The following is a 13,715-nucleotide window of genomic DNA, read 5'->3' as shown; positions in this document are numbered from 1 at the left end:
AACTGAAATAAACTTCTCCAGTTCCTCCCTTCTGTGCACTGGGATTGAGGGGAGAGTGAATTGTTCATGTTCTCTGTCACTAAGCCTAGAATAGTTGCACTGACTCTCACGCAGAGACAGGCCACAGTCAGTGGAGCAGTGCAGCAGTGCAGCAGCCTCCAACAGCCTTAGAGATGAGACTCAGCAAAACTGACTGTATTCATCATTCAACATTCACTGTTGATAAAGACATACCCGAGACTGGGTAATTTGTAAAGAAAAAGAGGCTTAACGGACTCACAGTTCTACACGGCTGGAGAGGCCTCACAATCTTGGTGGAAGGCAAAAGGCACTTCTTAACATGGTGGCGGCAAAAGAGAATGAGAGCCAAGCAAAAGTGGAAACCCCTTGTTAAACCATCAGATATCGTGAGACTTCTTCACTTTCAGGGCAACAGTATGGGGAACCCTTCCCGTGATTCAATTATCTTCCACTGGGTCCCTCTCACAACATGTGGGAATTATGGGAGCTACAATTCAAGATGACATTTGGGTGGGGACACAGCCAAACCATATCACTGATGGAATGGTGAAGAGAACTAGCCATTAGCAAGATGACAAACTGGTTAGTGCTGTCGTTCAGGAGAAAGCAACTTTTCTGACTCATGCCAGACAACTGTGTTTATTGCAAAGGGCAGAATCCTTCATCACAACTGACAGAGGCCTTGCTTTTGATACCTATTTTCCATGTGCCTGTGTCTGGATAGGACATTGTGTCTCAGGCTACCAAGGAACACTTTCATTTTCACACTATGATGTTGTTAGCATCATGCATTACTTTGAAATTGTAGTTTGGTTAAATTGTTCTTAAGCTCAGAAATTGGGACCATGCGTGTCAGTGTATTTGGGCTTTAAATAATGATAAAGTATTTTGGCTGGGCGTGGTGGCTCACACCAGTTATCCCAGCACCTTGGGAGGCCAAGGCAGGTGGATCAAAGGGAGGTCAGGAGTTCAAGACCAGCTTGCCCAACATGGTGAAACCTGATCTCTACTAAAAAAAAATACAAAAATTAGCCAGGCATGGTGGTGCATGCCTAGAGTCTCAGCTACTCAGGAGGCTCATGCAGGAGAATCGCTTGAACCCAGGAGGTGGAGGTTGCAGTGAGCTGTGATGTTGCCACTGCACTTCAGCCTGGGCAATAGAACAAGACTCTGTCTTAAAAAAATAATAATAATAAAAATAATGATAAGGTATTTTTTATATAAATAAGAAGTAATCATTCTATTAAAGAACACATTTAATATAGGATGCCAAAAGTATTAATAGCAATTTCCACATTGGAACACCTTAGGTCCTAATGATGACTTATCCATTACTAGGGAATCAGTAATACATGATCTATTTGCACTCAGGAAGGTTCAGGAAAGAAGGCTAGATGTACATAATCTGGGAATGTTCATTAACATTTCCCTCATTATTGCCTCATAAATTATTTTATCAGATAACAGTAGTTTCTCTCAGAAACTGGTTTCAACTCTTTATTTCAAACTTCCAAAGAAAAATGATGTAATAGTTCCTATGAATTATATCAGCTGTGATCTTGAGAAGGCTACTTGAAATATGAAAGAAGAACTTTAGCTGATTAGTTCATGAAGAATCAATTGGTTTATCTATTTTCTCCCTTTAAAGGATTTTTGTTACTTCTACCTGGTGCAGCTTGATAATTAATTTGGAATTATCTTTAAAGAATTGAGAAGAGATGAATGTTTCAAATCTAAGTGAAAATGAGTAAGAGATAATTTTCTCTGAGAGAAAGAACACTGGTATATTACCTGATAGCCTCATTACTAGAGAAACCTGATTATTGATATAAGTAATGATAATCTTATTTACAAAATGATTTTTTATTAACAAAACCAACACAAATAAAAAACAGGGGAATAAATGGCCACATATAAATCGAAAGCACACAAGAACAAGCAAGCTATAAACCTTGTCCAACAGAAAATCAATAGCAGTGATTTTTATTTTAGGTCAGCGGCCTATCAATTATAAAGGGATGGGAGATCACATTTAGTCATTATTTAGCCAGGGACAGAAAGAGTAAACTGAACCATATATTTCTATATTTCTTCATAGAAGCTTGATTTTTGTAGGAGAGAAGGGTTCCTATTGAAATGACAATTCTGCACATGCGAAATGTGTGGTATTTTTGTGCCTTCTTAATGCAATGAATGCAACAGAGACCAAATTAGAGGCAAATGAAGTGAAGTGGAGGTCAGAATGTACAGGACCCAGGATACATGGTTGATGAGAAGAGAAGAGATTTGGAGGGATGACTTACGGCCTTTAAAAACATCAATTTAGAGTTTTCTCACTTAAAGAGGGAAATATAGACATATGATAAACTGCAAGCTGCCTTTGGGACTGAGATCACCATTTACCTAATCTACTATTAATCTGGCTCTGTTCATACACTGACTTTAATCGTAACTCCATTAAGTTCCATTTTAAGAATCAGATGCTCACTGTTTCTGATATAAAACTAAGTAATTTATAGTCTGAAACCCATCAGATTACTTTCAATTGAAGCTTGGTTTTACATTTACCTGGCATGAACAATGTAATGTTTAAAATATGCAACTGGCCAGGTGTGGTGGCTCACGTCTATAATCCCAGCACTTTGGAAGGCCGAAGCAGGCGGATCACGAGGTCAGGAGTTCGAGACCAGCCTGACCAACATCGTGAAACCCCATCTCTACTAAAAATACAAAAATTAGCTAGGGGTGGTGGCACGTGCCTGTAATCCCAGCTACTCAGGAGGCTGAGGCAGGAGAATTGCTTGAACCTGGGAGGCAGAGGTTGCAGTGAGCCGAGATGGTGCCACTACACTCCAGCCTGAGTGACAGAGTGAGACTCCATCTAAAAAACAACAACAACAACAAAATTATGCAACCAGTTTATGTCCAAAAATGGCTATCATTAAAGTACTAAGATTTCTCAAAATAAAGTGGTGATATTTTTTGGTGTTTAATAGCAATTCACATGATTTTATCAAAATAGTATTTAAGTCAAAATGTTGGTGCTAGAAGTGATTTTAAAAATCCTAATCAGGCCGGGCGCGGTGGCTCACTCCTGTAGTCCCAGCACTTTGGGAGACTGAGGTGGGTGGATCACGAGGTCAGGAGATCAAGGCCATCCTGTCCAACATAGTGAAACCTCATCTCTACTAAAAATAAAAAAAAAATTAGCTGGATATGGTGGCTCGTGCCTGTAATCCGAGCTACTCGAGAGGTTGAGGCACTAGAATCGCTTTAGCCCAGGAGGTGGAGGTTGCAATGAGCCGAGATTGTACCACCGCACTCCAGCCTGGCAACAGAGTGAGACCCCGTCTCAAAAAAAAAAAAAAAAAAAAAAAAGAAAAAGAAAGAAAAATCCTAATCAATCAATCTTCTAGCTATTTCATATTTCATGAACAACAACTTGTGAAATCAAATGGATGGCTTTTTAGTTTTGCAATTATATTTTCTTCTTTTTACAACTCACTGCTCCTTTTGTGTGCTTTAAATAGAGTTTTCTATTCATCATTGAATCAGATACCGTTGGCTTCATACCCAGCATCCAATTCCTTCTTTCTTGTTGACAATAAAATCCTGATTTCTCTAGACATCGGCTCCTCAGGGAGGAATCCTATCTCTAGGTCAAAGGGACCTTTATTTTTCTAGTGACGGTCATCCTGTCTTCTTGCCATTAGTTGGTATAGAAGTAGGCAGAGGATCTAATTTTGACCGATGAAGTATGAAGAGATGTCCTACTGAAGCTTTCTAGGAAAGATTTCCTTGTGGGATTCAAGAAATATATCCAGGGGTGTAACAAAGTACATTATCCCCATAATGATAGTTGTGCAGCTGGACCAGAAAGCAACTGGTTTAAATTTGAGGAAGCAGATGAAGGCCCATAGGGGAGAAAACTAAGAGAAAGGGTTTGAAAGAATTTGTTAATGTCCTTGAGAGGTTGGCTATGTGAAGGCAAATAATAGAAGAGAGAAAGGCAATGCAAAAGTACTTGAAAAATGTACTCTGTATGTAATGAGCTCAAGGACATCGCTGAATATCACTTTTGAATTGCTTCCTTCTTGATTAAGTTGTCAACTTCTATGTGACCTATTCATTGAAGTAAAGCTCTCTAGCTCCTCACCGGTTCTGACTCATTTTGCTCTGAGACATTCAAAGAGCAGATCTGCTTTTCTGCTATTGCTCTGAGGCCAGAAACAGCTGTGACCATCTTGGTGGTTTTCTGATGCCTAAGTCAATGTGGGGCAGCAGGGGCAGGAGAACCACAGGGAGGCAGAGGTGAGCCATGTGCCTGCTCCTCGGTCTGCTCTTCCTTCAGGTTCACTGTCATGTGAGGTTAACTGTCACCTTATCATTTATTCCAGTTTGAGTCTGGGCTTACTGTTACTTTCAGCAAACGGACCCATTCACAAAATCAAACCTTCATTGGAACTTTACAGACCATGTTAATATACTTCCCGGATGGGATAATGAAAGACATACAACCATTTAGGCATATGTTGGTGCCATCTCCTTTATTCCTGTTCCTCATAGCTTTGGGGCTAGATGGAAATAGGGATCCTTTCTCTGTTGCAACAGCGTTTTATGAGCCTCTCTCCTCAACATAAATAAACTTTTTCTTGCATCACGTCGTCGTGGGGCCCAGACCTCGGATCTCTTATTTTCATACTCTACCTCTACTTTCCAGATAATTTCATCAAACTTCATGCTTTTAAATACCAACAAAACACTGACAACTTCTAAATTTACAACTCTAATCTGGAGCTCTTCTCTGAACTCCAGAATCCTGCCTCCTAGGATCAACAGATTTTTTTGACATCTCCATTCGGATATCTAACAGGAAGCTCAAATTTAGTAAGTCCAAATACACATTCGGGCTCCCTCAAATGTACTGCCTCCTCCCCATAGCCAAAGAAGTTTGTTCTGCCATAACATTCTTTTCAGTTACCAGCACTATCTTCCCAGATGCTCACGTCGAAAAACTTTGAGCCGTTGTTTTTGACTGATATATTTCTCTTATACCTCACATCTGATTCACCAACACATCCTGTTGGCTCTATCTTCAAAGTATACCTGGACCCAGACCTCTTCTAATAACTTGCATATTACAGCACTTGATACTGGTCTGCTTTCTCTTTTAAGTGCCAATGGCCCCATGTTCCCCTCTCTAATGCCATCTTCACTACTCTCCCTTCTCACTGCAGCCCAGCTTTGTTGCATTCCTTGCTATTCCCCATACAGGAAACAGCAGGAAGTCTTCCATCTCCACTTCCAGGGCATTTCACACACCCTCTTCTCTTTGCCTGTAGCTATCTCCCTATCCCCAGCGATGCTCTTGCTCTCTAACTTCCTGCAGGCATTTGCTCAAATGTGAACAAGAAGTGAGGCTTTCCTTGACTCTCTTTTTGAGATTAGATTGTCTTTTCATCCTCAGACTCTCTATCTCTCTGGTCTGTATGATTTTACTTCTTAACACTTACCACCATCTGGCATACTATATATTTTATAAATATGTCATTGTATGTTTCCCCCTCCAGCATGTAAGCTTCATGAGGGCAAGGATTTTTGTGTGTTTTGTTCATTACTGTATTTTCATTGCCTAGAGTATGATTGGGCACATTGTAGGCACTCAATAAATACTATGTTTAAAAGTAATGCTTAATTAATGAAAAAAAATCCCTGTTTCTTGATGATAACTATCAATCTGACAAGTGTGTTCTTTCTAGTAGGTGCCAATGATAATGTACTAAGATTTTAGTCAAGAGATATGCCTTAATCTACTAAATATTCCATTTAAACATGGGCTCTTTGAAGAGAGTATCTTAACAAAAAACAATGAATTTAATAGTGCATAATTTAGTAATTGTGAGAAGGCAAGCTTGCCCTAAACCTTTGTATCTGTTAACATTCTTTCAGTTTTAATAGAAACCCAACTCATATTTAAAAATAAAAAAAAGTATTCTCTAACTTAATGGAATATTTGGATATGAGGTATTGGTCAGGATTTCCATGATTTGGGCTTCATTTCTCTTTTTCAGGAGTCTTGGTGTTTATACTTCTCTGTATGTTGGCTTCATCCTGAGGCTGGTAAGATGTCTGTAGATATATGGCCTCATATCCATGCTTGGCAGTGTTCAAGCAAAGGGAGGGGAGGTTGTTTTAGAAAAATTTCTCAGAAGAGTTAGGAAGAATTTTCCTAGACGCTTCCAGTAAACCACTCCCCTATACCATTTGCTCGGTGTAAGTCATGTAACCATTCCTGAAGAAATTACTGGCAAGAGGTTTGAGGTCACCTATAGTTGTCAAGTCCACCCCTAAAGCTGAGGTAGACTTCGCTTGAGATGTATGGGGTTTCTGGGAAAAAGAGTGGGTTTAACAGCTATTAACAATTTTGGTTCTACGAGGAAGGAGAAAGAAGAGGTTAACCGAGTGTAGGCTGTAGCTTTTATATCTTAGGGACCAATTATTTCTATTATTTCTATTCTATCCAGCTTTAGGAATAAGTTTATTAACTTCAACATAAGAGCCATAAAGAGTTTGCTTCTTTAGTCTTTCTCTAGAAATTCAGCTAAATTGATGCTGCCTATGTGGGTGAAGAATTTAACTGTTTGTCTTCTAAATGAACTCAATGTCACCTAGAAGGAAAACAAAAACTTTATTGTGTTTTTTTCTTAAATATCTTCAAGTGTTTTGAATTTTTTAGCTAGTGCTTTGTGAGGCATGAAATAAATTTATTAGTTCCTAACATTATACATACATTTTAATATATGCTATTGATATATTTTAGATTTATTAGAAAAATGCATGTATTTATTAAGGTTATGAAATGAAAGTGAGATAAATGTTTGTCTTATCCTGAAGACGCGGTGTACTCCTTTTAAAAGAGTATATTGAAAATATATACTTGGATCAGTTTGGGGACAATTAAAATAACAGAAATCTCCTTTGTATCTTAAAATATAGGTCATAAGAATAATTTATTAGCATATATAACTTGAGTTCTCATTATAAATTCAAAACCAGATCCACGTTCAATGGAAATATTCCAAATATTTATAAATCAGTCGCAGTCTCAAGGGCTCCCATTCAGCATTTTTTTAGTGATGCATTTTTTTTGGAGGTAAAGTTTACATAACATATAATTAAACATTTTAAACCATACAGTTCAGTGGTATTTAGTACTTCTACATTTCTGTAGTCATCATCTCTATCTAGTTCCAAGTAATTTTTATCATCCCCAAAGGAAACCCTTTACCCATGAAGCAGTCACACCCCATCTACCCCCACCTCAATCCCTAGAAATCACTAATATGTTTCTGTCTCTATGGATTTACCTATTCTGAATATTTTACCTAAAGGAAATCATACAATATGTGACATTTGTGTCTAGCTTCTTTCTCTTAGTATAATGTTTTTGAGATTCATTTCTGTTGTAGTATTTATCAGTACTTCACTCATTTTATGGCTGCATATTTCATTGTATAGATAGAGCATGTTTTGTTTCTCCATTCTTCTGTTTATGGACATTTGTGTTGTTTCTATCTTTTGGCTGTTGCAAATAATGCTGCAGTTTTTGTTTGAATATCTGTTTTTAATTCTTTTGGGCTGATATTGGGGTGAAATTGCTGGGTCATATGGTCATTGCATGTTTAACTTTTTGAGGAACTATCAAACCATTTTCTACAGTGGCTGCACCATTTTGCACTCCTACCAACAATGTACAAGGGCTCCAATTTCTCCACGTCCTTGTCAAAACTTGTAGTTAAAAAAAAATATCCATTCTAGTGGATGTAAAATGAGATCTCATTGTGGTTTTGATTTGTATTTCCCTAATGACTAATGATATTGAGCATCATTTTTATGTACTTGGCCATTTGTATATCTTTTTTTGGAGAAATGTCTATTTAAGACCATTACCCATTTTTTAATTGGCTTGTCTTTTCACAGTTGAGTTGTACCATTCCTTATCCTGAATAATAGACCCTATTCAGATACAGTTTAGTCTCATTATTTGTAGATTCCGTATTTGTGAATTTGCTTACATATTAAAATTATTTGTAGCTCCAAATCAGTATTTGCAATGTTTTTGTGGCCATTCAAAGACGTGCACGATAGTGAAAAATTTAATTGCCGGAGGTACATGTTCCCAGCCGAGGTTGATTTAGGCATTGCTCCACCTTCTTGTTTTAGCTGTCATACAGAGGTGACCAGAAGATGGAGACAGTAGGGACAATGTGATGATAATATATGATATATATTTCCCTAGGGGGAAATATATATGTACATTGTATATATATATATATATAATATACATATATATGTTAAATGATGGATACATGCATCCTATCACTTTATATATATGGGATATATCCATCACTTAATATATATATGTTTAATATATGTATTTTCCTAAGGGCAGTGTTTCAGTTTTTGCTAATTTAGTGTTTGTTTTATAAATTTAAAAAATTATTTGTTTTATTTTATTTTTAATTGACAAATAATAATTGTATATGTTTATGGGGTACAATGTGATGTCTTGATACATGTAAACCTTGTGGAATGATCGGATCATTCTAATTAGTATATCCGTCACTTCAAATATGTATCACTTATTTGTGATGAAAACATGTAAATTTCTCTTTTAGCTATTTTAAAATATTTAATACATTATAATTAACTATAGTCACCATTTGTGCAATATAACACCAGCACTTATTCCTTTTATTTGTAAACCAAAAAGTACCTGAGACTGGTCTCAATTAATTTAGACATTTATTTTGCCATGGATAAGGATGCATGCCTGGGAGAGAGGACTATGCCTTTTTCCAAAGATGATTTTGAACGCTTCAATATTTAAAGGGAAAAGGGTGGATGTTGAGGAAAGAGGAAAATATTTTTAAAAGGTGTAGGTAGATAAGATGCAAATGGTTGCTTTCTTTTTGAGTCTTTGATCAGTCCTTCTTATGTGAGAGGGCAGGAAGAGGAAAAGTCACTTATGCATTTATCTAGCTCAGTGAGTCTGCATTTCTACATAAGGTAAAATAAACATAGGGCAGAAGAAGTAATCACATAATGCATTTGTCTCAGGTGAGCAGAGGGATGACTTTGAGTTCTGTCCTTTGTCCTGTACCTGTGAAGATAAGCTATCAATTTACACCATCAGGGTGAAATTCAACGGAACTATTAGGGTAAAGATTTTGATGCCTACAAGGAATTTCCTAATGGGCAACTTGTGAGGGAGGTATGTGGCTCTTTAAAATCTTTGTAGTTATCTTATTTAGGAATAAAATGGAAGACAGGTTTGCCTGATGCAGTTCTCAGCTTGACTTTTCCCTTTGGCTTAGTGATTTATGGGTCCCAGGATTTATTTTCCTTTCACATATCTAAATGAAACGTTGTACCCATTGACCAACAACTCCCCTTTTCCCATTCAACCCTACCCCCATCCTCTGGTAACCACCATTCTACTCTCTATACTTCTATGGGTTTCATTTCTTTAGATTTCATGTATGACCCTTGTCTCTTTGGGCCTGGATTAGGTTATTTCAGTTAGTGTAATGTCTTCTAGGTTTATTGGAGGACATTATATTAAGGATGTTACACATGTCCTTAACCTTGGCAAAATAAACCTCTACATTGATTGAGATCTGTCTCAGATACTTTTTGGTTTACCAATAAGAGGAGTAAGTGTTGATGTTATATTGCACAACATGAAGTCTATGGTTAATTATAATGTATTATGTATTTTAAAATAGCTAAAAAGAATTTTTAATGTTTTCATCACAAGTAAATGATATATATTTGAGGTGATGGACATACTAATTAGCCTGATCTGATCATATGGCATTTGTCTCTTTGTGCCTGGCTTACTTCACTTAATGTAATGTCCTCTAGGTTTATTCATGTTGTTATAAGTGTCAGAATTATTAATTTTTTTTCTTTAAGGTTGAATAGAGTTCCTTTGTGTATATGTACCACATTTAAAAAATCCATTGATCCATTGTTAGACACAGGTTGTTTCTATACCTTGGCTATTGTGAATAATGTTGCAATGAACATGGGAGTGTAGGCATCTCTTTTGACATCCTGATTTCAATTCCTGTGGTTATATATTCAGTAGTGAGATTGCTAGATTATATGGTAATTTTACTTTCAGTTTTTTTCAGGATCCTCCACACTGTTATCCAAAATGACTGTACTTACAATGCCACCAAAAGTTCATAACGTTCCCTTTTCTTGTCAACATTTATCTTTCATCTACTTGATAATTGCCAATCTAACAGGTGTGAGGTGATATTTTTAATTTGCATTTATTTTATGATTATAGGTTTTGAACATTTTTTTCATATCCCTGTTGGCTATTTGTGTGTCTTCTTTTGAGAAATGTCTATTTAAGTCTTCTGCTCATTTTTTAATAGGGTTATTTATTTTCTTATTATTGAGTAGTTTGAGTTCCTTGTATATTTTGGATGTTAGCTTTTTATCAGATGCATAATTTGCAAATATTTTCTCCCACTCTGTAGGTTGTCTCTTCATTCTATTAATTTTTTTTTTTTTTGAGACAAAGTCTCACTCTTGTTGCGCAGGCTGGAGTGCAGCGGCATGATCTTGGCTCACTGCAACCTTGGCCTCCCAGGTTCAAGCGATTCTCCTGCCTCAGCCTCTCCAGTAGCTGGGATTACAGGTGTGTGCCACCATGCCCGGTAGAGATGGGGTTTCTCCATGTTGGCCAGGCTAATCTCAAACTTTGACCTCAAGTGATCTGCCCGCCTCAGCCTCCCAAATTGCTGAGATTACAGGCATGAGCCATCGCGCCTGACCATATTCTATTGATTGTTTTCCTTGCTATACAGAAGCTTTTTAGTTTTTCGCAATCTCATTTGTCTAATTTTGCTCTTATTGCTTGTGCTTTTGAGGTTATATTTAAGAAATCACTGCCCAGACCAATACCAGGGAGCTTTTCTCTCATGTTTCCTTCTAGTAGCTTTATAGTTTTATGCCTTACATTTAAGTCTTTAATCCATTTTGTGTTGATTCTTGTATAGGGGGTGAGATGAGGGTCCATTTTCATTCTGCTGTATATAAATATCCAGTTTTCCCAACACCATTTATTGAAGAGACTGTCCATTCCACATTGTGTTGTACCTTTGTGAAACTCAGTTAATCTATGGGTTTATTTTTGGGCTCTCTATTCTATTCCATTGGTCTATGTGTTTGTTTTTGTGCTGGTACCATGTTATTTTGATTACTACAGCATTGTAATATATTTTGAAATGTGGTAGAGTGATACCTCCAGCTTTTTCTTTTTGGCAAGAATTGCTTTGGCTATTCGAAGTGTTTTTTGTTTCCATATAAATTTTTGGATTTTTAAAATTTCTCTGCAGAATGAACATTGGAATTTTGATAAGGGTTGCATTGAATCTGTAGATTGCTGTGGTTGCTGTGGACATTTTAATAATATTAATGCTTTCAATTCATGAACACAGGGTATCTTTCCATTTGTGTCATCTTCAATTTCTTTCATCAGTTTTTAGTATAAGAGTCTTTCATTTCTTTGGTTAAATTTACTCCTACTTTATTTTATTTTTTGATGCTATTGTAAATGAAATTGTTTTCTTAATTTCTCTTCCAGACAGTTCATTGTTAGCATATAGAAATGGTACTAATTTTTGTAAGGTGATTTTGTATCATGAAACTATTGAATTCATGTATCAGTTCTAATAGTTTTTTTGGAAGAGTCTTTAGAATTTTCTATATATTAGATCATGTCATTTACAGAGACAATTTCACTTCATTCTCTTCTATTTGGATGTCTTTTTATTTCTTTCTTTTGCCTAATTGCTCTGGCTAGGACTTCCAGGACTATGCGGAACAGAAATGGTGAGAATGTGCTTCCTCGTCTTGTTCCTGATTTTAGAGAAAAAACTTTCAACTTTTTACCATTAAGTATCATGTTAGCTGTGGGCTTTGCATAAATAGCCTTTATTTTGTGAGGAACATTCCTTCTATACCTAATTTGTTGAGATATTTTGTCACAAAAGATGTTGAATTTTGTCAAATGCTTTTTCTGCATCTATTGAGATGATCTTATGGATTTTATCTTTCATTCTATTAATATAGCAAATCACATTTAATGATTTGCATATGTTGAATCAACCTTGTTTCTCAATGATAAATCCCACGTGATTGTAGTGAATGGTCCTTTTAATGTACTATTGAATATGGTTTGCTAATATATCTCAGCATTATTTGATTTTATCTGCACATAAATTTGACAAAGTATTTTCTTCTTGGTTTCACACAGCCAGCCCTAGAAAATTGGTCTATGGGGAAATAATTCTTCCTGATTATTTTGTCTATGGCTAAACCTTTGACAAGATCATTACCACATGAGGCACTGAGGTCATCAGAAGTAATTGCCAGGTACCCAGACTGTGAAGGGGCAGAAGACTGTCTCTCTGGGGCCCTGTCTGGAAGAAGGATTTACGTATCTCATGAATTCTATCTTCAGCTTATCAGTGAGCTAGCCTCCTCCATGTTACTTAGATTTCTCTTCAAAGGATCAAACCTTTACATGAGGGAAGCATAGATTAGCCATCTTTGGTCCACTAGAAGATTACTTTGTGGGATTTCTCTGTGTAAAATCTAAGAATGAAGCTGGTTCCTGTTTTTCTTTTTTCCTTAAATGGAGCTTTGAAATACTAGACAGACTAGAGCTGACTAATAGAGATTCTGCCATTGAATAAATGAAGAGTAGTTTTCAGTCTAAAACTCATACTTGAGATGAGCCAAGGCAAATTAAATGCTTCAGCTTTTTGTCTGAGAAGAGAGACAGAAAGACCTGTGCTTTAAACAGAATGCTCCTAGAATCGTATCTTTATGGTAAAAGGGTCATTGTTTTGAAAATGGGCTGAGAAAATAGATTTCATTGCCTGATTAAGGACTACCTCTGTGTATTCTCAGAATTCTCATTGAGAGGTTTTGGGAGGTTCATGAACGATTAATTGTTAAAGTTAAATCATCTTTGAAGAAAAGTATCTCCCATCTTGTGGTATAGGGGCTGTTCACATAGGCTGTTTAGTAGGCATTCAGTAATATTTTGTTGAAATAAGTGACTAAATTAGATACTATGAAGAAATTGAATGGCATGATGTGTGAAAAGATAGCATCATTCCAATAATTCAGATCAATTGATGCAAGAAATGAACTTTTACTTTTCAAGATAATTTTGGCCTGTGGTATCACTGGATTAAGTACCAGGAAATTACCTTCTGAGTAAGTGAAGGAGCTTTGTAGAAACATATAGAAAGGAAAACCTTGTCTGATTAGGCAATAGTTTACCTTCATAAGGGATGCCATTAAACACTACGTATTCTGCTTCTTGAAGGCAAATTAAAAAAAGAAGTATGGTTATCAAAATAAGTTCTAGCCAAGATAAGGAATTGAAAAGAGTCAGAAGACTTAATAATTGGCAAACCCTAAAATATTATTGGCTATCACTTTATCCTTATATGCAAATATATATACACATATATGTAATACATATATACACATATGTTATACATATTATACAAGGATATATACATATATAGACTAGGATATATACATATGGCACATTGCATATATGTAATATATACATATATGTTCACATAGGCTATTCA

General features: G+C 36.3%; 1 long non-coding RNA gene across 1 annotated transcript in view, besides 1 other annotated feature; it reads left to right on the top strand.

The window, feature by feature from the left end:
• LOC105371956 (uncharacterized) overlaps positions 1–13,715 on the top strand; it is a 92,178-nt gene that overhangs the window by 38,196 nt on the left and 40,267 nt on the right. The gene's annotated exons all lie outside the window — the stretch shown is intronic.
• Positions 5,051–5,552: an enhancer, noted in NCBI's record as "NANOG hESC enhancer chr18:2082631-2083132 (GRCh37/hg19 assembly coordinates)". NCBI's record gives its function as "activates a minimal SCP1, AML or CMV promoter by ChIP-STARR-seq in primed H9 embryonic stem cells {active_cell/tissue: H9 hESC(primed)}" and the evidence as "EXISTENCE:reporter gene assay evidence [ECO:0000049][PMID:30033119]".

This window comes from Homo sapiens, chromosome 18 (genome assembly GCF_000001405.40).
Source record: "Homo sapiens chromosome 18, GRCh38.p14 Primary Assembly".
Taxonomy (NCBI): Eukaryota; Metazoa; Chordata; class Mammalia; order Primates; family Hominidae; genus Homo; species Homo sapiens.
Note: the sequence above shows the minus strand (reverse complement) of the source record. Positions and strands in the feature narration are given on the sequence as shown.